Below are 25666 nucleotides of genomic sequence, written 5' to 3'. Positions count from 1 at the left end.
TTATTTATGTCTTTTTTGGATTAACTTGTCATACTCCCCTAGAAGAAAATGCAAATTTAAAACTATCTGAGGCATAGGGCCCTGATAACTCCTGAATTGGAGTTATCATCTCAATGATTAATGCACGGCTGGTGACAACAATAAGTATAGCATAGATATTGTTACAATTGTAACTTCTGTGTTTAATAGCATCTACCAGAAAAGGATCTGTTCATGAGGTGGCAGGATTTGAGAACTCATACCCCTCCACACAAACACACCCAGACACAGACACAGACACGGACACACACAGACACAGACACAGACACAGACATGGACACACACAGACACAGACGTGAACAGACACAGACACACACAGACACAGACATGGACAGACGCAGCTCCCAGTCTGAGAGGACTTCACCATCCTGTTGTCCTTGTCATATTTCTTGACCATTCCAGGCACCTGCGTCCTGACAAATGGTTTGATTACAGTAACTCCCTGAAAGACCCGTCAACACTGCAGTGGAAGATATCAATGGACAACGCTAAGATTCTTCCAAACACCTCGCTTCAAAATCCTCTTCTGACTTTTCCCACCAATCCTCTGAAGGCCCTAGCCAAGTTCTAATTATGTCCGCCTTCACCTGCCAGGCAGTGAATGTCCTGCCTCAGGCCACCCTTCAAATTGACCATAAATTCCAATATTCCCTTCCCCCTTTGGAGACACTCCCCGAGCTCCATGGGGCTGGGTGCCAGCTGGGCACAGCCTGAGCACAGCCAGCTACTTACCGACGTGCAGGGGTAGAAATCCAGTTGACAGGCTGAGCATCCGTGCATGGCAGGGGCAGAAATCCAGTCCACAGGCTGTTCTGAGGTTCCCATTTTGTTTATGCATCCGTGCGTGAATGAGACAGCTCAGCACCAATTTGGCCTCTGTTCTCTGATGTATCAGTGTAAGTGCTGAGGAAACAAGCTTGCCTTGGACAAGTGGATGGGAACACGGGGACTTTGCAGTCATCCTACTCACTCTGTGAAGTCCTCCCAGGTTACACCCCAGAATTCACGATGAAAGCCACACTTTTAAGTTCCCAGCCCTGCTCCATCATTTACTAGGTGTGCAACCTCAGGCAGGCTATTACAGCCTCCTGTGCCTCAGTTTCCCCATCTGTCATCTGGCAATGCCTGCCTTATGGGATGGGGAGGATTCGTGGGTCCTATGGTCAGTAACGATCAATGTGATTTTAATGGTCTCTCAGGGGGCAACGAATGTAGGGCTTTCATCTGCCCTGCTTAAAGCCAAGAACTGGAAACTTTCTGGTTTGCAGGATCAATACCTAGTCATGGGGTGCTTGCTGTCTCCACACCCCAATCACCTCCTCCCGCTTTTGGGGAGGGGGAGCTGGGTGAGGTCAGGAGGTGGAAGTGGAGGGGGGCTGTGTCCTCAGATGCCTCTCTGGCAGGGTGCTTTGGGTTGGGAGGCCCATTTGTAAAATGAAGATCTAACTATTGATTACCTTAAAACTATCCTCACTCACTGCAAGTACCCTCTCCCCGCCCCCACCTGCTTTAGGGGCTCACCCAAGGATGTTAGAAGCCCCCTATTTCAGAAGCCTATCTTTCCAGCCCCACCTGCAAACTTTTACTAAGAAATCTTCCTTCACTTCTGGGAGAGCCCTGTCTCAGCTTCGGGTGTGTCTTCTCTGACGGCAACAATAGGACATCTGCATTTAGATACAGTTCTTCTCCCAGGAGCTTGGCCTCCTCCAAGTTCCCTTTGCCCCTCTTCGCAAGGATCTGGGAGATGTGCCTAAAGGATCCTTTCTCTGCTGCAACTTCTAACAGAAGTGCTGGTGGCCTCTTAAAGAGGGTATGGTGGGAGATGTTTCTTGACCTGTGTTGTCAGAAACTCATGCATTCAAATCCCAGCCAAGCTGCTTTAAAAAGCATGTGGGGCCAGGCATGTTGAATCACACCTGTAATCCCAGCATTAGCGAGACCAAGGCGGGTGGATCACTTGAGGCTAGAAGTTCGAGACCAGCCCGGCCAACACGGCAAAATTCTGGCTCTACAAAAAATATAAAAATTAGCTGGGCATAATGGTGCGCACCTGTAGTCCCAGCTACTTGGGAGGCTGAGGTGGGAGAATCCCTTTGAACCGGGGAAGTGGAGGTTGTAGTGAGGCCAGATCGTGCCCTTGCACTCCAGCCTGGGTGACAGAACAAGACTCCATTAAAAAAAAAAAAAAGCCAGTTACTTAGCCTCTTTGAGCACCTTTGCTGCTTTCTATAAAATAGAGATTCCACAAACCTTGAAGGCTGTAAGGATTCCTTAGGTAAGAGCAGAACCTAGGCTACAATGGATGCTCAGATAGGTCTCAGGTTGGGAGCTGGGCCACCCACAGAGGAAACAGCTCAGCAACTGTGCACCCATGCCAAAATAAGTCAGCTGCCACTCTCAGGGCCTCTGCTTATTCCTGTCCATCACCGGCCAGGACTCCTGGCACCCCAGAAAAGGAGACAGGTGTCTCCTGTCTGTGCACCCCCAAGAGCCTCTACCCAGCCCTGAGTTCTTGCCAGCCTCCCTGCCAGCAGCCTCCCAGCATGGCCCAGTTCTAACTGCAACTGTTTTTATAGAGCAAATCTGTCGCTCTAGAATAGAAGTGGTCCCCAGGCTCGGGAGTGTTGGGGATGGGGGCCAGGTAGAAAGCAAGTCAGCTTTCCTCTGCCTCAGGCCAGTTTGGTATTCCCCACTCTCAAAACCCCCTGCCTCACAAAGCTGGGCCTCAGTAGCATTTACCAAATATTCCCCCACTGTTTTGTCACGCTACCTGGCCTCAGGACCAATTTGCCACCAATTGAAAGTCTGTTTCTTGGATTTCTGTTTTATGCCATTGGTCTGTCTGTTGTTCTCTGAACAGTTCCATACTGTTTTAATTTATGTATTTATGATGAATTATGATACCTAGGAAGATGAATTTTCCCTCTTTAAAACTCTTGGACTTCTAATTTTCATATGAATTTTATAATCAGCTTGGCAAGACACTTGGAAAGCCCTTAGAAACTTTGCTCAAAATGGCATTGCATTTGCAGATTCATTTGGAAAGAACAGAATTGACATCATTATGATATTGAGTCTTTCTGTTTATTAGCGTGGTATGTTTTTATTTAAATCAGCTTTAAGTTTTCTCTTGCAGATTTTTTGTTAGATTTAGGGATCAAATAATTTTTGCTGCAATTATATGGAATCCTTTTTTGGATTACATTGTGGGGTGTAAACACCTGCTGCTAATTTTTATATGCTGGTTGTGTATCCAAAACCTTGCTAGACTCTCTTGTTAGTGCTAGTAGTTGTACATTCTCTTGCATTTTCTAGTAGCCAGTTATATCTACTGCATATAATGACAGCTTTTCGTATTCCTTTCTAATTCCTTCCTCCTTTCCTTTCTTCTAAAAAAAAAAAACCTTAGCCACTAAAGTTAACAGAGTTTAATTGAGCAAAGTTTAATTGAGCTTGCAAATGGGGCAGCCTCCCAAGCCAGAGTAGGCTCGGAGACTCCGGCACAGCCAAGTGGTGGAAGACAATTTAAGGACAGGAAAAGGAAAGTGACATACAGAAAACAGAAGCGAGGTACAGAAATAGCCACCTTGGTTACAGCTCGGCATTTGCCTTATTTGAACATGGTTCGAACAGTTGGCCACCTTTGATCGGCCAAAACTCAGTGACTGGCACTAGAGTAGGCTATGGTCTGCTTACAACTCCATTTAGGTTATAGTCACCAGGTACAGAGAAACCTTTGGGCTGAACTTAAAATACGTAAGGAGCAGCTTGAGGCTAAACTTGATTTAACCCTTCCTTCCTCCTTTCCTTTCCTTTCCTTTCCTTTCCTTTCTTTTCCTTCCTTCCTTTCTTTCTTTTTCTTTTTCTTCTTTCTTTCCTTTCCTTTTCTTTCCCTCTCTCTCTCCTTCCTTCCTTCTTTCTTTCCCTTCCTTCCCTCCTTTCCCTCCCTCCCTCCCTCCCTTCCTTCCTCTCCTCCAGTTTTTCTCTTTCTTTCTTTTTTCTTTCCTTTCCTTTCTTTCCCTTTCTTTCTTTTTTCTTTCTTTTCTTTCCTTTCTTTCCCTTTTCTTTCTTTCTTTCCTCTTTCTTTCTTTTTCTCTCTCTCTCTTTCTTTCCTTCTTTCTTTTTTCCCTCCCTCCCTCTCTCTCTCCTTTCTTCCTTCTCTTTCTTTCTTTCCCTTCCTTCCTTCCTTCCCTCCTTTCCCTTCCTCCCTGCCTCCCTTTCTTCCTTCCCTCCAGTTTCTTTTCTTTCTTGCTTGCTTGCTTGCTTGCTTGCTAGAATCTAGCACAATATTGACTAGAACTGGCAATAGAGAGCATCTGTAAAGATAGTTTATAAAATTAATAGACTTTTGCATTGCTATGATAAATCCTACTTGGTCTTAAGTTTTTTAAATATATACTGCTGGATCTAGTTTGCTGATATTTTATTTATGTATGTAAATAAAATATTTGCATCTAAGTTCATAATTGAAATTAGTATCTAACTTACACTGCTTTCATTTGGTTTTGGTGTTCAGACCCAAAATGCTTCAACTTTCTTTTCTAGTCTATGTAACTGTTTGCATAAGATAAGCGTTCTTTGAATTCTTGATAAAAGAAAAAAAATTCTGTAAATTTGGGCTTAGTATCTTTTTAGGCTGTAAGGAGGTATTTGATGCAGATTCAATTTCTTTAGTGGTTGCATTGATTTACTCAGGCTTTTACTTTCTTCTTGAGTTAATTCTGGCGATTTGGTTTTTTTTTTAGAAGTGTACACATTTTGTGCAAGTTTTAAAATGTACAAATATAAAGTCATGTATATATTTTGTTAAAATGTTTAATCTCTCTTTTTATCTTCCCTATTATTCTTACGTAGTTTGTGCCTTTCCTCTTGTTTCTTTGGTCAGTCTTGATGGGAAATTATCTATTTTATGCTTTTTGTTCATTTTAAGAACCAGTTTGATTGATTCTCTTTATTGTTTTGTAGGTTTCTATTACATTTACTAGCTTGTATAGGGAACTCTATTAATTGTTTCCTTACAAAGTACTTACATACTTTGTAACATGTTATGTAATCAATTTTAATATATGTTACATGTATCCTTTAAAAGATCGTAGATTGCCATTTTATTCTTATATGGAGTTCTTTATCCCTGCTTATGCCTTTTCCTTTAAAATCTAATAGGGGAGAAAAAGTAATATATTTTTCTCACCCATCGCTAGGTTCACGGCCCAAACCCCTATAACGAAAGACAGATGTAAGAAGAGAAAAGCATACAAAATTATTTAGTGTCAGGTTTATGTCACACGAGAGCCTTCAGAAATAAAGACCCACAGAAGCAGGGAAATGGTGTATTTTTTGTTTTGTTTTGTTTAGAGACGATGTCTTGCACTGTCGCTCAGGCTGGAGTGCATTGGTGCCATCATAGCCCACTGCAGCCTCAGCCTCAAATGCTGGGGCTCAAGTGATCCACCTCAGCTTGCCCAGTAGCTAGGACCACAGGCATGCACCAGCACACCCAGCTTTTTTTTTTTTTTTTTTTTCCTGTAGAGACAGGATTTCACTATATCGCCCAGGCTAGTTTCAAACTCCGGGGCTCAAGCAATCCTCCTGCCTCATCCTCCCAAAGTGCTGGGACTACAAGTGTGAGGCACCATGCCTGGCTGAAACTGTGTATTTCTATAAACAGTTGTGGAAAAGTATGACAGTGGACAAACGGGCTTTGATCTAATGGTAATACAGTGAAGGTTTATGAAGTTTTTACATACGTTTAATGAAGGTTAAGGGAGCTTAGCCAGACCTGTTTGTTCAGATTCTTCTTGGCATCTCTGTGTCTTCCTTCCTTTCTTCCGGGTAGAGGAGGACTCCTCTGGGATGAGGGTCTTATGACCTATTCCAGGAGAGAAGGAAGGAGGAAGCTCAGAGAGCGAACTCCCTGCTTCTGCGAGATTCTCAGTTTCCTTCACCTTAAAATACTCAGTGTGCCAGGGTGTCCTATTCTGGGGCAGCATATTCTGAGCCCTGGAATTTTATTTGTCTAATTTTCATATGACTACAGCATATTTCTTTAGGTTATTGTTCACAAACACATTACCTGGGCTTACATCTTTTAAACAGCATATGGCTGGATTTTGTTTTTCTATTCAATCTGATCATTCCCATCTTTTGTATGTGATTTACATTTTTTTGTGGTTGCTAATATATTTGGGATTCCTCTAGTTCACCTTTTGATTTCTGACTGAATTTTTTCTTCATTCCCTTTTTCTCTCCTCTTCTACTTTCTGTTGAAGTAATAAAATTTTTGCATTCCCTTTTCTCCCTTCTCCTGCTTTGGAGCTTTATAAGTTTCAATTCCTTTTGAGATGGTCCTTCTTTAATATGCTTAAGTCACCACAAATTTTCTTTAAACTATTAAGAAAATCTGGCTGGGTATGGTGGCTCACGCCTGTAATCCTGGCACTTTGGGAGGCCAAGGCGGGCAGATCAGCTGAGGTCAGGAGTTTGAGACCAGCCTGGCCAACATGGTGAACCCCATCTCTACTAAAAATACAAAAATTAGCCAGGCATGGTGGCACACACCTGTAATCCCAGCTACTCGGGAGGCTGAGGCAGGAGAATCGCTTGAACCTGGGAGGTGAAGGTTGCAGTGGGCCAAGATTGCGCCACTGCACTCCGGCCTGGGCAACAAAAGCGAAACTCCATCTCAAAAAAAAAAAAAAAAAAAAAAAAAGAGAAAAGATTAAGAAAATCAGCATTTCTATTCTCCTTCTCAAGGAGACACTCTGACACTCTTAGCCATGCCTCTGCGGACTCCTACTGCTGCTGTCCCCTGCCGCTTAGGTTTAACCACTCTTAGCCATGCCTCTGCGGACTCCTACTGCTACTGTCCCCTGCCGCTTGGGTTTAACCATTCTTAACACACTAAATAGGTGTGCGTGGGGGGTGGGGATTGGGCGGGTGAGTGGATGTATTAGTTTTGTTTTTCCTATTGCTTCTGCAATAAATTACTACAGATGGAGTGAGCTAAACAATACAGACTTATTATCTTGTAGTGTTGCAGGCCAGAAGTCTGACATGGGTCTTGCTGGGCCCAAACCAAGATGCCAATGGGGTTACGTTTCTTTCCAGAGATTCCAAAGGGGACTCTGTTTCCTTGTCTTTTCCATCTTCTACAGGCTGCCCCATCCTCTTTCCTCAAAGCCAGCCGCATCGTGTGTCTCTGACCATTCTTCCGTAGTCACACCTCTCTTCTCCTGACCCTGGAAAGGTTAATTTCTGATTATGTTAGACTCACCTGAAAACCCCAGAATAGTCTCCTGTCTCAAAATTCTTAACCTTAATCACATTTGCAAAGTGCTTTTTGCTAAGTAAGGGAACATACTCACAGGTTTTGGGATTTAGGACCTGGGTGTCTTTTGGGGGCCATTTTTCTGCCTACCACTCTTTCTGCCAAGAGGAAATTTAATTTCCCATTATTTTATCCATTTCTATGTTTACCTTCATTTCTTCAATCACTGGTCTTTTCCTAGCTTTCTTTCTTTCTCTCTCTTTTTTTTTTTTTTTTTTTTTTTTGAGACGAAGTCTTGCTCTCTCGCCTGGGCTGGAGTGCAGTGGCGTGATCTCCACTCACTGCAACCTCCACCTCTGAGGTTCAAGCGATTCTCCTGCCTCAGCCTCCTGAGTAGCTGGGATTACGGGCATGCACCACAACGCCCAGCTAATTTTGTATTTTTAGTAGAGACAGGGTTTCGCCATGTTGGCCAGGCTGGTCTCGAACTCCTGATCTCAGGTGATCTGCCTACCTCGGCCACCCAGAGTGCTGGGATTACAGGCCTGAGCCACTGCGATCAGCCCTTCCTAGTTTCAATTTGCTTCTTACTCAACGACTTATATTAATATCCCTTTAATGGGAGACAGTAAGTGGGAAAACGACTAATTTTTTATTATCTGAAAATACTTTTATTTCCACTCCACTCTTGAATCAACTATTGCTGGGTATAAGATTCCACTGGGTGGGTTTTTTTGCTCAGTGCTTTGAAGCTCTTCCTCTTTCCGGTGTCTGCTTCTGGTGATCCAAGTTCGCTGACTGCTAACGTTTGTTCCTGAATCCATCTGCTCCCTCTGGTGGTCTTGGGATTTCCCCACCGTCCATAATGTTCTGAAGAATCACTGCAGCATCCCTCATCAGACCTCGGTTTGTTTCAGGTGGTTAGCACTTGGAGGCCCCTTGGGTGTCACAGACAGAGTGAGAGCCCTCACTGATGGACTGTGAGGACAGTGACAACGTGGCCTGGGTGGATCACCACCGCTTGCTTTGAATATGAAATTGTTTTACTTGATAGGTAAGTGATTTTTAACCCCGGGAAAGTCTTTGAAGAAACATAGAAATTGTAGTTGAATTTACCATGAAATCAATGAAGTTGAAGCTTCAGGCCCTTTAACAGCGTGTGCCCCTTTGGAGTCCCTGGAGCTCGCTTCATAGTCATGAATGTGTGTTCTTTCTCTTAAAGAGAGCCCCGAAATTGTACAAGCTGCAGGCCCCAAAAAGGGTGAATTTTATCAAATCCCCAACAAAGACAATGAAAAAACAAGAGAACCAACACTTAAAAAATTAAGTTAAGGAATAACCTGTGTAAATTAGGGGTTTAAAATGTTTGTAATATTTCAGACAGTTTGGATTACTTGAGAATATAGCAAATTGGACTTGTGATTGCAACCTAGTGTGTTTTTGAGGCATTAATTTAGATCTTTGCTATCAAGCTGAAAACAGACCTCTTCTGTTTCTTGAAACAATACTAAACTATTTAAGACAGCTTACAAATAACCACATTTATAAATGAATGCTATTAAAATTACACATGTACTTGAAAAAGTTTTGTTAGACAACTGAAGTACTTAAAATGAAACTAAAAATATTTAAAAATGATAAATGCAATTCAAAACATTTGAGAACATTTAATAAACAAAAATTGTAAAGCCCCTTTTCTGAGTAATTATCAAAATTCTCCAGATTTCTAAGTAGAACAAGAGGAATTAAACATGAAAGCCTAAGGAAAAACCATGTTTTAAAATTTGTAGCTGTTGAAACATCAAATATATTTTTTTAAAAAGTCATTGCAAATCGTCTTTCCTATGCATAAAAGATACTCCGGGGCATCATGAAATCCAAACAGAGAAATTGAAGTTATCTCTGTGAGCGGACTTCACATACCTATTTTAAAGTCTATGTCAGATTTTCTGTAAAATTAATTTTCCTGGAAAGAATGCCTATTTTTTTTTAATTGAAGTCAAGCATGGTGGCTCATGCCTGTAATCCCTGCACTTTGGGAGGCTGAAGTGTGAGGACTGCTTGAGCCTAAGGGTTTGAGACTAGCCTGGGCAACATAGTGAGACCTCATTTCTATAAAAAAATAACAAATTGGCCAGGTGCAGTGGCTCAAGCCTGTAATCCCAGCACTTTGGGAGGCCAAGGTGGGCAGATCACGAGGTCAAGAGATGGAGACCATCCTGGCCAACATGGTGAAACCCTGTCTCTACTACAAATACAAAAATTGGTATTTGTATTGAGGCAGGAGGATCCCTTGAGCCAAGGGGTTGGGATCCAGCCTAGGCAATATAGTGAGAACCCATCTCAATTATTTACTTATTTATTTATTGAGATGGAGTCTCACTCGTTGCCAGGCGGGAGTGAAGTGGCGCGATCTCGGCTCACTGCAACCTCTGCCTCCTGGGTTCAAGCGATTCTCCTGCCTCAGCCTCCCGAGTAGCTGGGACTACAGGTGCGTGCCACCACACCCAGCTAAGATGCATATTCTAATGATGGCTTTTCTCATCTGTGCCCTGCATTGGCATTTGTTCTGGAGTTGTGGTGCCCCACCCCATTTGAGGAGTGCCATCTCCTTATGCAATTTCTTTTCTCTCTGTGGATTTCCGTGACTGCCTCCTCCTGCCTGCTGGTCTCCGTCCAGGACCAGGTCTCACCGTGACATTTGCAACCCCTGCCTAGAAGTCAGCGGAGTGTCCCTGGCCCAGCATCTCAGTTTTTCCCATCCTGCTGAGACACCTTCTTGTCCCCAGGCCTGCTGGGGACCAGTTTGCTACAAACATTTCAGGAGGGAGGTCTGCAGCAGTCTCATTTCAACCTGCACTCCCAGAGTCTGATTCTGACCCTGACTCCTTGTCTCTCTGGATGCCCTCTTGGCCCCATGACCCCTAGACCCAAACCACGCCGGACCCCTGGGGCAGGAGCCCTTCTTCAGCTGGTGGCTGCAATGTCCCTCGCTGCTGCTGCTAAGCGTTTCTGTTCCATTTCTGCCCCCACAAAAGGTGTCCATCTGGATTTTCAGTAGTTTGTTTTTTTTTCTAGCTTGCATTGTGTTCATTGGACAGTGATTATCTAGGCAATGGAAGTAAAACTAATAAAAGTTTAATAAGGGGTTAATAAAATGTTCCCAGTGGGCTGATCGCTAGCAAGGTGGCAGACAGAAAACCGAGTGAGGAATTCTCTTCTCGTCGTGTCCACAGCAAATGAGAAATTGCATGCTAAATGCCTTGGTAACAACCAGATCTGTTTTCCAGTCTGTGTCTTCTTGTTTTCTCTTTATATAGATTACCTATCTGTGTGTTTTGAGACAAACAAATATGTGAAGCACCAGTCACAGTACCAGATTTTAAACTATTTCCAAACATATCTGTTCCGTTATTATCAGAAAACAATTCAGAACGCTCATGGGGAAGGAGGGACATTCCCAGCCTTACTCTCACTTGACCCCCAGCAGCAGTGGCCTCCTGGGCCCCACTCTGCGATGCACGATTTTCCCAAGTTCCCAGGCCCCGACCTGTATGAGTCCAGGTTCCCAGGCCCCCACCTGTATGGAGCGGCAATAACAAATCCCACAGGTGGGGAGCTTCAACGTACATTTATTGGTTCAAAGTCCTGGAGGCTGAAAATCCAAGATGAAGTTATTGGCAGGGCTGGTTCCTCTGAATCCTCTCTCCTCGGCTTGCAGATGGCATCTCCTCCCTGTGTCCTCACAGGGTCATCCCTCTGTGTGCATCTGTGTCCTCATCTCCTCGTCTTACAGGACATAGTCAGATCGGACCAGGCCCACCCTAATGCCGTCATTCGAACTCAATCACCTCCACAAAGACCCTGTTTCCAAATAAGGTCACATTCTGAGGTACGGGGGTTAGGACTTCAACATATGGATTTTGGGGGCCACAATTTAGCCCAAGCACCTCCTTCACCTTGTTTTCCTCCTGTCCCTCCTTAGAGCTTTCTGCTGTGCCCCAGGGAACTGCATGGGGCTCTTGTCTCCAGCTTCATTTCCTGGGAGATCCCAGCCAGCATTACGGCATTAAAGATTGTCTTGATACCCACATGGGAAAGACTCCTGTGTTCCTGCCCCCAGCCCGGGCCTCTCTGCAACTCCAGACTCGGATATTCAGTTGCCTCCTTGGTGTCTCCCTTTGGGGATCCAGAATTCATATCAGATCTAACTTGTCTGAACCCCAGTGATCATTTCACCACCAATTTACCCCTGTCTGCTCGGGGATGGCTCCTCCATGCTTCCTGGACTAGAAACACCAAGTGCTATCTCTTCACTAATAAGGAGAGAAAGGCAATGAGCTACCTGTGCCTCTTCTGAACTAATCAAATGAGGTGGCTGACAAGTAAAGACACGGAAAGGAAGAGAAAGGGTGGGGACCGTGCACTGGTGCAGGGCGGGTGGGCTGCGCTGGCCTTGGTCTCCTCCTCCCGCTTCACCTGCAGAAGCAGAGACAGACGGGTTTGCAGGGGTCCAGGTTGGAGAAGTCCAGGTAAAGGGCCCGCCCGGGTCTCACTGGCTTGAGAACAGTGGGTTCAGACCTCCCAAGCACTACAGAGAAGCTAGGTTGGTTCCAGAACTTTCCTGTTGAGCTCAAATGGGAGATTTCCTGGAAAGCTGGAGCCTAGAAGTCCTGGGAGAAAGCTGCATGGCTGTGGCATTTTGCGAACATTGCAAGAGTAAGCTATTTTCGTGGCAATCCTGAGGATCGCTGTCTGTTTCTGTTCATGCTCTCTCTCCTCTCTGGGTGTCCTGGCCGTAGTGCAGTGGTCAGGCATACTGGAGCAGTGCTAAGGGAGTGGGAGGTGCACCAAAGTTGGGACCAGTGAGTAGTTCTTATGTTGTCAGCAGTCATGTGCAGGTAATTTGTGGTTAACTCTGAGCCGTGGGAATGGCTTCCAGGAATACACGTAACACACACAGTGACTGCTGGGTGGCAAAGTGCAGGGCCAGGTGTCTCCCCACCGTAGAGGTACAGTATGCCCCATGGTGCCCAGCACTTTAAGTTTTCGGGAAACGGAGTAGAGAAGGGGGTTTTAGAATTCCAGAGCCAGAAGCTACCATGTCAAGAGAAGGCTGAAGTATCCTTCCAAGTGCTCAGCAGGAATGCTATTTTTATAGTTATTGTCCTAAGAAGTAAGCAAAGAGTATGCACCTCAAAGCTGTAATTTAAAAGGAATTATAAAATTAATAAAATTATATTATTTTTGTGGATTTGTGATATTATGATACTGTTAGCTTTTTAGAATTTGTAATCCATTATATTTTCATTTCTCATTTTAAACCAATATAATCTGCTTTGGATCTGCTCTTGTATTTATAATTTTGTATACTATTCCTTAGGGAAGTTCCCCCACATTGTATAAACTTCATCCTCTACAAAACTAGCATGGGCCCCTTGTAGGCTTCTTGCAAATATGCCGCATCCTCCCTCCAGCAGCACTGAGCGCCCAGAGTTTGTGCAGAGTGGGTGCGTCTTGCCAGTGTTGACACAGAGAATGAGCCGGAATGAGCCGAGACCAGAGAAACCCCGGCCCACCCAGCCAGCTGTGGACTACTTTGGTGCTTCCTTCTCTCTTCAAAGCATTCTCAGATCTATTATTTCACGTGGCCACTGGTTGGGCAGATCACCAAATCCCCACGTTACAGAGGTGAGGCTGAGGCCGAGGGCTCGGTGGCTGGCAGACAGCCATCTCGCTGGAAACTGGGGGCCTGGAGCCTGAATGCAAACATCCTGGGCTCTGGACCCTGCCTGGATGTGCACATGAGTCCATATAACGCCCGGCGAGGCTGACATTTCTGGTGGCAGCCAAGATGTGCCTAAGGAAACATTCTCTCCTCCAGGCCCAGAGGCTGATGCAGCTCCGATGGGTGCATCTGGTCCAACTGGAAAAACCAGCAAGCCAATCCCCCGGGGTGACCGCAGGCTGACCAGGGAAGAGAAGTATTTTCAGATGCAGGTAGTGAGAAAAGTAGCAGAAAAAAAAAACGCTGAATCGTTCAACAAGTGGACAAATCATTGCAATCCCAGCTGGTAGAATGACAGAAGCGGATCCTGGGGCCAGTACGGGGCCATCACCTCGACTCCCAGGGCAGTGGATGCACAGCATGCAGGCATGGGCAGAGGACAGGTCAGGACTCACTTCCGTCTCTGTCCTGCCACTTCCTCGCTGTTCCTGCCAGCTCTCCCAGCTTCTCAGCTTGCCCCTGGCTACCAACCCAACTCCCACGTGGAACAGGGAATGCTCTTCCAACAACCTTACCCCTGGCCAGTGCTTCCTTCTGGACCCAAAAATAAAGCTGGAGTTTTGGGAAACCTCCCCCACCACCATGCTGGGTTGTCTGGGTGCAGATGGATCGCCCCTAGGGTTCATGCCCAGGCACAAGTCTGCTGGCACCCACTCAGGGTGGCACTGTCCTGGCTGGTGACTTCTCCGCATCCCTACCCATCTTGACTGCACCGTCCCTGGCTACACAGTGTCCAGCCTGACTATACTGAAGGTAGACACAGCCCCGTCCCCCTCTCCTCTCCAAATCCAGCCCAGCTCCCAAATACCAGGCAACATTGAACAACAAGCTCAGACCCTGTGCTTCCTCTGGAAAACAGGGCTACTAACCCCTCCTCCCAGTGTTATTCCAAGGATGGAATGAGAGAATATTCAGGAAGTATTTATCAAAATACTGGACCTATGACACATCACTTAAAATCAAACCTATTTGATTACAGTTCTATTATGAATGATGAAAATTTTAAATTAGAATATTTATTGTAATTACTTTTTACAGTAGGTATCACAGGTTCTACATATCAAAAATATTGACCATAAACTCTCCCTTCTATGGCTTTGCTCCTGCTGCTCTGGGTGTCTTTTATCGATTGCCACAAAACCAGAGCTGATGTGGCACCATGAAATCCACTCACACTCCCAGCTCCTCCCGATAAAATGGTACTCAGCTAATAATGTCTTTCTTAAGGAAGTTACATGACTCTAGGATTTGTAAAAACAGTAGTGCATGTGGTTCTTCTGTCATTTTCTCTTTATTGAATTTCAGGACAGGGAAGGCATTTTCCATATACAGATCAAGCTATGGCTGGGTGGGGGTCCAGCTTCATGTCTCCATCATCGATGCCATGGGTGAAATTATGAGTTTAAAACATTTATTTATTTATTTATTTTTGAGAGAGTCTCTGTCGCCCAGGCTGGAGTGCGATGGCATGATCTCGGCTCACTGCAACCTCTGCAACCTGGGCTCAAGTGATTCTCCTGCCTCAGCCTCCTGAGTAGCTGGAATTACAGGCATACTCCACCACGTCTGGCTAATTTTTGAATTTTTAGTAGAGACAGGGTTTTACCATGTTGGCCAGGCTTTTCTTGATCTTCTGACCTCAAGTGATCCACCCACCTTGGCCTCCCAAAGTGCTGGGATTATAGGCGTGAGCCACCGTGTCTGGCCAATGAGTTTAAAATTTAGAAACAGGGCTGGGTGCAGTGGCTCACACCTGTAATCCCAGCACTTTGGGAAGCTGAGGCAGGAGGATTGTTTGAGCCCAGGAGTTCAAGAACAGCCTGAGGAACATAGCAAGACCCTGTCTCTACAAAAAATAATTTTAAAAAACCTAGCTGGGTGTGGTGGTGCGTGCCCATAGTCCCAGCTACTCAGGAGGCTGAGGTGGGAGGATCACTTAAGCCCAGGAGTTCGAGGCTGCAGTGAGCTATGATCGCTCCACTGCATCTAGCCTGGGTGGACAGAGCAAGACTCTGTCTCTAAAAAAACACAAAGGTTTAGGGAAAAAAAACAGACAGAAATGCTCAGGATCGAGCCACAGGCTTCTTTCCTAAGTCCTGGCCCTTGGCATTTTAATTCCTCCAGCTGGTTCCATTCTCTCCCACCCCTTGGTTTTACATCAAGCTATCATCACGGGTATTCTCTAAAAGTAGAAACACTTTTTCTTTGTCTCTTTATCTTGGGGTTGACCTGGGGTCTGAAAAACACACGTGAAAGAATTTTGACCATTGTCAGATGCTGCCCAAGTATGACAAGGAGAGGCTGTGCTTCCTCAGAATCCAGTGAGCACCATGCTGGTGCCTTAGGTACCTCGTGGCTTTCGTCTTTTCAATCAACCTACAGCATACACAGTCTTTGTCCCATCTCATGGATGAGGTAACTGAGGCTTAGGGAATTTAAGCAACTTTTCTAGACTACACATCTCAGGAATGACGGTTCTAAGGGTTAAGACCACTTGTCTGATGTCAAAATCAATGTTGTAACCAACTTGAGCAGAACACACTGGTCAGCCAGTCCCTCTTTATAGAGCACATAATCGTCCCAAGCACAGAGTGAATTCCTGGAATCAAGAGGTGTCAAGGGGGTTATAGTGTCTGGACTCCAGGAGCTTTTATCCCCAACAAAACTGTCTCCCAAGTAAAGAACTGTGGCGTTGATTACCAGAAATCCTCCTGGTCACTGACTGCATTTCTCCCTGCTCTCCTACTACCTTATACCCCAGCAGCCAGCACAGTCCCTGCTACTGAGCTGGGAGCGCCCTGATGGATTCTGCTCCCCATCCCTTCTCCAAGCATCCTTCAGGTGCTGTCCTCTGCCCCTCACCCCCACCATGCCCAGCAGCCCCCTCCAGCTGGCCACAGCCACCCCCCTATGCCAGCCAGCCGCCTGGTCAGGTGATGCCTCTCTGGCTGCTTCTCATTGCTCCCATGCAGCATCGGAAAGGGACATCCCATTGGCTTTCACTGACTTGTGAAATAAATGCAAGAGTGCTCAGGACTTGTGGATGTGGACCCGTTGACTCTTTGCCCTTGGGGTGGGATCTATATTCTCTCCCTTTTAAGCTTCATGCTGAGGGCGGTGCAGGGGCAGTGGCTGAGGGAGAAGTGGGGGGCTTTGTCAGAAAATTGCCTACGACCCGAAATTCAAGCTTACAATCACAGTGTCAGTGTAACAGCCATGAAGCAAAGGACAGGGCTGGAATACATCGTTTCTTTTCCTGTGTTTTTTTAAATTATTATTATTAAAAGTAATACAAGAAATCCAGGAAGGGCCAAGTGCAGTGGCTCCTGCCTGTAATCCCAGCACTGTGGGAGACCGAGCTGGGTGGATCACCTGAGTTAGGAGTTCGAGACCAGCCTGGTCAACATGGCGAAACCCCATCTCCACTAAAAATACAAACATTAGCCGGACATGGTGGCACACACCTGTAATTCCAGCTATTCAGGAGGCTGAGGCAGGAGAATTGCTTGAGCCCGGGAGATGAAGGCTGTAGCGAGCTGAGATAGTGCCATTACACGGTAGCCTGGCCGACAGAGTGAGACTCTGTCTCAAAAACAAAAAAAACAAAAACAAAACAAAACAGAAATCCAGGAAGACAGTAAGCTCTGGGTGCATGCACTATGCAAAAATAAAATAAAATAAAATAAACCGTAATGTTTAGAAGCAGAGGCAGATTCCAGGGTCTTTCCTAATGAAAGAGGTGATATTTTTTCCCTGATGGTAGAGAAGATACTGAGGAAATGACCAAGACTTTCTTCCCCGGTGGCAGCATGGACACCCTCTTTATTTTTCACCTCTGGATTAAGAGTGGCAGGGCCTAGACTCCGGGATGCCTACAGCTTCCTAGCAACAGCAGGAGAGAAAGACAGATGTGTCTGGGGGAAGTCAGTCCCCAGGCGCCCCGGGAGTTTGTCCATGGATGTGCACCCCTCAGAGAGGTTCCTTCCAAATCTAGGTGGGGTTCTGAGAAGCCCAGGACCCCTCCCTGCATTTCAGCGGACTCAGTAGCTGTCACTGGAATCCCTGTCTTACCTTAAAGTCCTGTTTCTAAACCTTTTCAGCCTTGGACATCGGGCACTGTGTCCAGGTCTAAGAAGAGAAGGAGCCAATAGCCAGTGGTGTAAGGTTATTTTTACAGCCAATCTAACTCAGATGACTTAAGAAAGGAAATGTACCATTAAATTATAAACTCTTCATCTTTGGTGAACTAAGGACTAAACTCTGATTTTTTATCTTGCCCAAATTCCTATCTAAGGGGTCTGGGAAGTCATTTCCTACAAACCATAAATTTTCGTCAGATGGGTTTTATTTAACCCTATATATCGTGACTGACTTTCCAATCTGACTCTGGCATAACATTATGTGACAAATAAGAAAATCAAAGTATTTTACCCTGAAACGTGTTTCTTGGCCATATTTTGAAATGCCCTGCAAAGATGTCCCTTGTGGGAAAAAATTTGCGTCTGTAAAGAATCTCTATTAACACAGCTAGATCTTGTTTCTTCCAGGCCCTCACAATCCTGAAAAGATTAAGAGCCTAGCACCTTTTAAAGGTCTGAACAGGAAGCATTTGTCATTGATTGTCTCTAAGGGCAGCCACTGTGAGACTTTGGAAGAACCCTGGTCTCCACAGTCTTTTATCTTAACCTGAGCATTTCCTTTCTATGGATCCCAGGTCTTTAGACAAACACAACCAGTTGTCAACCAGAAAATGTTTAATTTGGCCAGGCGCAGTGGCTCACACCTGTAATCTCAGCACTTTTGGAGGCCAAGGTGGGCGGATCACCTGAGGTCAGGAGTTTGAGACCAGCCTGACCAACATGGAGAAACCCCATCTCTACTAAAAACACAAAATTAGCCCGGCGTGGTGGTGCATGCCTGTAATCCCAGCTACATGGGAGGCTGAGGCAGGAGAATCGCTTGACCCTGGGAGGTGGAGGTTGCCGTGAGCTGAGATCATGCCATTGCACTCCAGCCTGGGCAACAAGAGCAAAACTCCGTCTCAAAAAAAAAAAAAGAAGTGTAAATTCACCTATAGCCTGGAAGCACACTCCACCCATCCCCCACCCCCCCAATTTTGAGTTGTCCTGCCTTTCTAGACCAAACCAATGTATTTCTTAAATGCATTTGATTGATGTCTCATGCCTCCCTAAAATGTATAAAACCAGACTGCACCCCAACCACCTTGGACATATGTTCTCAGGACCTCCTGAGGGCTGTGTCATGGGCCATGGTCACTCAGATTTGGCTCAGAATAAAATTCTTCAAATATTTTATAGCGTTTCACTTTTTTTGTTGACACATGGCTGTGTTTTTATGTATTTATCAACAATGGAAGCAAAAGAAGAGGGTACAGGGGGCTCACAGACCATCTCACAGCGGGTGACCTTCAGGCAGAGGCACCTAGGGCTGGGTGTGTAGGGAGGGGTGGCCTGGGCCCACCCCCTAGGTAAGGCTGTCATAGACAACAGGGGATGCCCCCTAGAAGTCACAATGCAGAGCTGCTTCTCACTCTTCCAGGCTGAGATCTGACTTCTCAGCCCACCAGAGGCAAAAAGAGGACAGTCTCACGGTCCCCAAGCCCAGAGACCACTGGGAGGGGAGCAAGTGGGGTCTGGACCACCGACCTTAGCTTCACCTCAACCCCCAAGAACACCTGCCCCGTTGGAGGTAAGGCCTGGAAATTTGCATTTTTTTTTAAAAAGTCTGGCTTTCTCAATAACTCTTATATGGAATGACATTTGAGAATCACTGGAGATATTACCTATACACCCCCAACACACACACATACACACACACACACGCACACGCATACACACACACATGTGATTGTTCTGACCAGAACCTTGAGCATTCTGTCCCTTATATGAGGTGCTTCTGTCTCTAATCACAGCCTCCCTGGCCAGGAGACCCCTGCTTCCCATCTGGGTCCCCTTTCCCTCACTGACAGCAGGCCCGACTAGCACTGATCCCCGTGATGGCATTTTGTAAACTCCTGTGGCCAGCCAACCCTGCTCGTTAGTGGCACATTCTTCTGTTTTTGTTTGTATGTTTAGTTGTATGCCGTACTTTTGATTCATGAAGATAAGATCTCACTGGCATTAAGCTATTTTTATCTTTTAAACATGACCTTGAATACCTATGCTCTGATCCTGTGTGAGCTGCCTTTGCAGTTTTATTGTCAGAAAGTAATTATGTCATTACTTTCAACTTTTGGGGCAACAGCCTTGTCAGTCACTTCATCTAGAACAACAAATACTTTATTATTATTATTAATTCTATTATTTTGCTTAATCTCATGCTATAGGCAAGATCATGGCCTATGATCCTGTCTGGTCCTATGCTGTGACATTAGTAGTGGTTTTGTATGTGCCCAGTTATTTTTGGATATTAATTTATGTATTTTTCTTTTGTTTTTCCCTTTTCTCTCCCTCAGGCAGACTGGAGCTGGCTGTGGATTTTATTTCTCAGGAGAAGGAGGTGGGAGCTGGAGAGAGTGACCCGTGCATCTTTCCAGCTTTTCCTTGGCCACCTGGGTGGCATGGGAGCTGGGAGTCAGAGTTCTGCTGAGCTGTAGGACCAAAGGCCACTGGCTCCGCTGCACCTGCGGACTGAGACACCCACCTGCTGAGTGAGACCCAGCCTCTGCGTGCTTAGGGGTCCCCTGCTACAGGGCATTGAGGTGAGGTCCGCCTTTGCCCAGTGTGAGAGCGCTGCTTTCAGAGCTTTGAGAAGGCTGTTATCATTTGTTTCTTTTTGAACTTGCCACCTCCCCACTTAGAGAATATTTCTGGGGACAGAGTTTCGTAACTCCTGCCGCATAGTTGGTGCCTGCTCTCGACTACATTAAATCTATTTTCAGTGCCCCTCTGGCAACAAAATAATGCTTTTATTTCTCACATCCCTGGCAACACTGGGTTTATTTTTATTTATCGTTACTGTCTCAAGTACGTGGGATTTTAATACTTTAATATCATCCTCATTCCTTTCCTTCCACGTCTGTGCCGTGTACATTTTTCAGGTGGACAGAAATTGTTTTCACAGCTTCTTGCTCATTCATATCTTTCCTGGAATCCCCCCATTCTGCCTCTCACAGGCAGCCCCAGAGCTCTGTCCACCGGCTGACCCTCCCTCCCTGGGGAGCTCCTCTGGGCCCCGGCTCCAAGTAGCACTTCCCTGCTGGCGCCCCCCAAGTTCACATCTCCATCCCCTCAACTCCAACTGCCTGCCACCACCTGCTCTTCCCAGTTTAATTAGCACCTCAAGTTGAACGTGTCCAAGGCCAAGTTCTTGATGTCATCTTGCACATCCGCTTTCCCCATCTCCGTCAGTGGCGGCTCCATTCCTTCAGCTGTTCAGACTAAAATCCCTGGGGTCACCTCTGACTGCCCAGTTCCCCTCAGTCCCCACATTCCATTTGCTAGTCCTCCATTCCCACTCCCCGCTCTAGGATGTCTTGAGCACTATTGTACAAGCCTTCTTCTAGGATCTCCCCTCCTTGGCACTGCTCCTGGCACGTCGTTTGTAACACAGCAGATAGGCCGGGTGCGGTGGCTCACGCCTGTAATCCCAGCACTTTGGAAGGCCAAGGTGGGCGGATCACTTAAGGTCAGGTGTTCAAGACCAGCCTGGCCAACATGGTGAAACCCCATCTCTACTAAAAAAAAAATGTAACACAGCAAAGAGCAGACTGTTTCTTCTGAAGTGTTAACCAGGGTATGTGATTTCTCTGGTCCCAGCCATCCAGAATACAATTCTGAATCCTTCCTGCAGTGTTCAGGGCCTTCCATAATGCACTCTCACTGCCCTCATGAAGGCTCCTCCCCCAGCAGAGGCACCTGCTGCTTCTCCTGCGTATGGACACCCTCCCAGACTCCTGCCGGAGATGGAGCCCCTTCGATGGTCAGGCTGGCCTCTTATCCTGGCTTTACATTTTTTTTTTTTTTTGGCACTGGCACTGCACATTCATTATGTGTTAGTTTGTGCCTTCCCTGCTGGGACACAAGCTTCAGGAAGCTGCATGTTCTGCTCTCTTTGAACTTCCCAGCACAGGTGGGCAGTAAATGTGTGCAGCCATCCTGCAGAGCAGATGCAGGGGGTGCAGGTGTGGGGCCTCCATCGTTTTCCTCATTGTTTCTTTTCTTTTTCTTTTTCTTTTTTTTTGAGACAGAGTCTCTCTCCATCACCCAGGCTGGAGTGCAATGGTATGATCTCGGCTCACTGCAACTTCTGCCTCCCGGGTTCAAGTGATTCTCCTGCCTCAGCCTCCCGAGCAGCTGGGATTACAAGCGCCCACCACCACAACCAGATAATTTTTGTATTTTTAGTAGAGATGGGGTTTCACCATGTTGGCCAGGCTGGTCTCGAACTCCTGATCTCAGGTGATCCACCAACCTCGGCCTCCCAAAGTGCTGGGATTACAGGCGTGAGCCACTGCGCCCAGCGTTTTCCTCATTGTTTCTAAGCTAGGGAAGTTAGGAAGCGGAGAGAGTGCACAGAGGGAAGCCAAGATGTTTCATGTGCTTGGCGGCAGCTTCTGACCTCCATTCTGTGGGGAGACGGGGTCTCTGGAGCTCGCTGCTGGGCTTCGGGGGTTGACCGGACCCCAGCGCCTCCTGGAACAGCTTAGGACAGTGGAATTTCAGTTGCCTGCAGGGCTGCCACTCAGATGCCCGCAGGGCTGAGGAGCTCCTTCCTGCTCCTCTAAAAGGTGGCCCAGTGAGCCAGGTCTTCCATGTTTTAAAGAGAAGCTGGAAAGCTGAATTTTATGTGAAGTCTCCTAGTTTTAAGATGTCAGTTCAAATGTTTGTAAACTTCTGTGTTTCTAGTAAGACACATCGTACCTGGTTTGGCCCACTACAATCAACTGACAGCTTTGTTCTGGATCAATCTAAAGTTGATTGATGCATTTTTAAAAGCTGATGCTTTTATTTCTGCCCTCCAGCTGTATATGTAAGTCAAAGAACAATTAAGATACAAAACTGTGATTCAGTGTTGCAACCCACGTAGAAGAGAGTTCAGCCTTAAGGTTTAATTTCTTTCATCTTACAAAATAGGGCATGGACAGATAACCTCACCATGAGTTTGTTCAACGTTTTCTTATGAATATGAATACATCATCCTTTCCATAAGACATTTTAAGGCATCCGCAGGAAAATGTCATGTTAAATATACATATCCTTCATGACTACAAATGTGAAAGTCATCCCTACGTTTGTACCGTATACAACCTGAACAACTACACATGGCAACCCTAGGTATGGGTGTCTCTGTCCAGCCCAGTCCAGCCCTAGGCTGCTTTGCAAGTTACCTGAATTATCTACTTCTTGGAAAATATACCTTGTATTTGCCCAGCTCTTTGTAGTCCACAAGTCTCTCTCTATTCATTGGTTAATTTAATTCTTCATGACCCAGCAATACGTTATTATGCCTATTTTATGGATAAAGCAACTAATTCTCAGGGAAGCTGAGCAATCTGTGTATGAGATTACAGAAGTAGTTACAGGTACCGTGAAAGGCAAATCTGTGCTCTGACCTAAGGGGTCCCTGGAGCTGATACGCTCCACCCTGCATGATTTGGTGCATCTTCCTTATCCTTTGGGCAGGTGGGTATCCTCACCCCTACCCCAGCACCTACAGTCCACCCTGGGGGTAAGCTCCAGTCCCTCCCAGTGTGCTGCCTGGGGTGACCAGGAATCAGTGTTCCAGCGAGCAGTTAAAGGCCTGGCTGAGCCAGCTCACAGGCGCTGAGCACAGGTGCTTTCGCCTTCCACGTGCATCTCACACACGGGGCTGGGTGACACCCAGGAGGCGAGCATAATCACTACACACATGCCTGTGACCTCCTGTCGCCTGTGACCTCCTGTCACCTGTGACGACCTCATCATCTAAAAGCTCTAACTCAAACTTGTGCAGGAATCTTGAAATTCTTGACCATTTTTTTAGGATCTCAGATATTAAAACAATTTTCAAACTGCCATTAGCCTAAGGGGTTGCAGGTGATTTTTGAAGGACAGAGTAGGTAAAGAAGGAAGTACCTTCCCCACGCCCCGCTTTCTTTTTATAGTAGAATTCTTTACTATTTTACAGCAGACATTTTGTTCCCATGATTGGAAGACTTTTACAACCAGGAACATAGCCAGTTTTATTTTCTTTGTTAGTTTTATTGAGTAGTTTATCACTGTATATTTACATATGACATTGGTTATTGGCAGATATAGGCTCTCCAGATCCCTAACACACCAACACAAAATGAGCTTATTAGTCACGGTGATAACGGAAGCCACGCAGTGCCTGGGAGGCAGGAGGGCAAGGTTGGAACCCCCTGAAGATTGGAGTTGGGATAAAGTGGAACATTCCCTGTCGAGGGGTCGAGGGGTCGAGGGGTTGATGAGGAGTGAGTGTGGACCATGTTGCACCAGCCCAAGCTTGGTGGAAACAGCCAGGCAAGGGGTTTAAGTGAGAGATTCAAAGAATCTTAGAGCACAAAGTTGCTGCTTTCCATTGAAGAGCTGATGGGTCTTTCTGGAGGTTTCCATGAGAAATTTGCCCCATTCCATTTACTGGGGCTGGAGTCTCCTGGAACGACTTTGCCAGTCACGTGAATGGAAACGGTGGAAGAGCAAAGTCTCTCCTTAATTACACAGGGAGCTGTTTGCGGTGTGAGGCACAGGTGGTTTAAGCTTTCATTTCTGGTTTTGTTTTTTTTTTTTTTGAGACAGAGTCTCACTCTGTCACCCAGGCTGGAGTGCAGTGGCGCAATCTCTGCTCACTGCAACCTCTGCCTGCAAGGTTTAAGGATTCTCCTCCCTCAGCCTCCCGAGTAGCTGGGATTACAGGTGTGTACCACCATGCTTGGCTAATTTTTGTATTTTTAGTAGACAGGGTGTCACCATGTTGGCCAGGCTGGTCTCAAGCTCCTGACCTCAAGTGATCAACCCACTTTGGCCCCCCATAAGTGTTAGGATTACAGGCCTGAGCCACTGCACCTGGCCGAAGTTCTTGTTTCTTAAAGGACAGATTGGCTAAAGCAGCTACAGTTTCCAAAAACCAATGGGAAAAATGGGCACTTGTGTATTTGAATCTTTAACTATATATTTATAAATATAAATATATATTTAACTATATTTATATTTATGTATACATACTGTATATATGCCTGTTTGTACACGTATGTGTATACACATGCATACACACATACACATATATGTGCATAGATAATTAACTTGTTCTCAGCATGTTACATATCCCAAAATCTGGAAGTAGAGGTGCTCAAGTAGGATGAACTATGTTGCTCCTTGATCAGTTGGTTTGCTTCCTGACCAGATGTTGGGAGTGATAACAGCAGGCTCACAGTGTAGTGCTTCTTTGTCCCTGAAGAAATGAAAGAGGAGTGACCTAGCCATCTGCGACGGGCAGCCACCCCAGGGTCGCTCCTGTTCAGCACGGAAGCTTGTCGCCCCCATCCCTATGGATCTGCGTGTTTCACGGACCCTTTGCTCAGTCCCTCTTTAGCTACACTTCATATTTGTTTCTCTGCAAACACAGAGATTCAAGGGTTTTATGAGCCTTCCTTTGGGCCAGCCATTTTCAGGAAAAAACAAAACAAACAGAAAACAGGTGCAGTTCCCTAAGTGGACTCTCTGACTGGGCAGCGGGGTTTTGGGACTGGGAGGAGATGGAAGGGGCAGGGGCTGGGTAAGTGCAGCAGCAGAAGCAGTGCCTGGCCGTCAAGGCTTTGGTAGCCCCAGAGTGACCCAGAGCCTCAAAGGCGTTTAAGCGTGAGCACCGTGGGAGCATCCGAGATTGCCCGGTTGGCTTAACTTATTATTATTATTTTTTTTTGAGACGGAGTCTTGCTCTGTTCCCCAGGCTGGAGTGCAGTGGCACAATCTCGGCTCACTGCAAGCTCCGCCTCCCAGGTTCAAGCCATTCTCCTGCCTCAGCCTCCCGAGTAGCTGGGACTACAGGCGCCCGCCACCACACCGGGCTAATTTTTTTGTATTTTTAGTAGAGATGGGGTTTCACCATGTTAGCCAGGATGGTCTCGATCTCCTGACCTCGTGATCCTCCTGCCTCGGCCTCCCAAAGTGCTGGGATTACAGGCGTGAGCCACCACGCCCAGCCGGCTTAACCTATTTTTAAAAAGTTACTTGCATGTATTTTAGCTGGAAAAAAGAAATGTACAAGGATCAAAAAGCTTATTTTATGATTATAAAGACTTGTGAACGGCCGGGCGCAATGGCTCACGCCTGTAATCCCAGCACTTTGGGAGGCCGAGGCGGCCGGATCACAAGGAGATTGAGACCATCCTGGCTAACACGGTGAAACCCCGTCTATACTAAAAATACAAAAAATTAGCCTGGCGTGGTGGCAGGCGCCTGTAGTCCCAGCTACTCGGGAGGCTGAGGCAGGAGAATGGCTTGAGCCTGGGAGGCGGAGCTTGCAGTGAGCTGAGATCGCGCCACTGCACTCCAGCCTGTGCAACAGAGCAAGACTCCGTCTCAAAAAAAAAAAAAAAAAAAAAAAAAAAA

The 25666-nt window shown here is 46.2% G+C and overlaps 1 long non-coding RNA gene and 1 other non-coding gene across 2 annotated transcripts, besides 7 other annotated features; one reads left to right on the top strand and one right to left on the bottom strand.

The window, feature by feature from the left end:
• Nucleotides 3404–3582: a silencer, noted in NCBI's record as "fragment chr21:42918133-42918311 (GRCh37/hg19 assembly coordinates)". NCBI's record gives its function as "represses an EF-1alpha promoter that drives an FKBP-Casp9 reporter gene in an ReSE screen in K562 erythroleukemia cells {active_cell/tissue: K562}" and the evidence as "EXISTENCE:reporter gene assay evidence [ECO:0000049][PMID:32094911]".
• On the bottom strand, nucleotides 10462–10582 carry LOC124900472 (small nucleolar RNA SNORA32). Its single transcript, XR_007067945.1, has one exon. It is a non-coding gene; the product is annotated as a small nucleolar RNA SNORA32 (small nucleolar RNA).
• Nucleotides 12833–13844: an enhancer, noted in NCBI's record as "E4 fragment used in the pGL3-Promoter-E4 construct". NCBI's record gives its function as "activates an SV40 promoter in transfected LNCaP and VCaP prostate cancer cells {active_cell/tissue: LNCaP | VCaP}" and the evidence as "EXISTENCE:reporter gene assay evidence [ECO:0000049][PMID:31405024]".
• Nucleotides 12961–13122: a silencer, noted in NCBI's record as "fragment chr21:42908593-42908754 (GRCh37/hg19 assembly coordinates)". NCBI's record gives its function as "represses an EF-1alpha promoter that drives an FKBP-Casp9 reporter gene in an ReSE screen in phorbol 12-myristate 13-acetate-treated (for megakaryocytic differentiation) K562 erythroleukemia cells {active_cell/tissue: K562(+PMA)}" and the evidence as "EXISTENCE:reporter gene assay evidence [ECO:0000049][PMID:32094911]".
• Nucleotides 18293–20666: an enhancer, noted in NCBI's record as "E3 fragment used in the pGL3-Promoter-E3 construct". NCBI's record gives its function as "activates an SV40 promoter in transfected LNCaP and VCaP prostate cancer cells {active_cell/tissue: LNCaP | VCaP}" and the evidence as "EXISTENCE:reporter gene assay evidence [ECO:0000049][PMID:31405024]".
• LOC124905021 (uncharacterized) lies at nucleotides 18670–19997 on the top strand. Its single transcript, XR_007067870.1, has 2 exons — nucleotides 18670–18803; nucleotides 19570–19997. It is a non-coding gene; the product is annotated as an uncharacterized LOC124905021 (long non-coding RNA).
• Nucleotides 22363–24365: an enhancer, noted in NCBI's record as "E2 fragment used in the pGL3-Promoter-E2 construct". NCBI's record gives its function as "activates an SV40 promoter in transfected LNCaP and VCaP prostate cancer cells {active_cell/tissue: LNCaP | VCaP}" and the evidence as "EXISTENCE:reporter gene assay evidence [ECO:0000049][PMID:31405024]".
• Nucleotides 22375–23803: a transcriptional cis regulatory region, noted in NCBI's record as "range of sgRNAs used for CRISPR/Cas-mediated deletion of the E2 enhancer". NCBI's record gives its function as "positively regulates transcription of TMPRSS2 and PCSEAT in LNCaP prostate cancer cells {active_cell/tissue: LNCaP}" and the evidence as "EXISTENCE:deletion mutation evidence [ECO:0005510][PMID:31405024]".
• Nucleotides 23004–23495: an enhancer, noted in NCBI's record as "-17 kb ARBS fragment used in the pGL3 promoter construct". NCBI's record gives its function as "activates a minimal E1A TATA-box promoter in a non-androgen-dependent manner in transiently transfected LNCaP and VCaP prostate cancer cells {active_cell/tissue: LNCaP | VCaP}" and the evidence as "EXISTENCE:reporter gene assay evidence [ECO:0000049][PMID:24109594]".

The sequence above is a fragment of the Homo sapiens genome, chromosome 21, assembly GCF_000001405.40.
Source record: "Homo sapiens chromosome 21, GRCh38.p14 Primary Assembly".
Lineage (NCBI taxonomy): Eukaryota > Metazoa > Chordata > Mammalia > Primates > Hominidae > Homo > Homo sapiens.
This window is presented reverse-complemented; position numbering and strand designations above follow the sequence as displayed.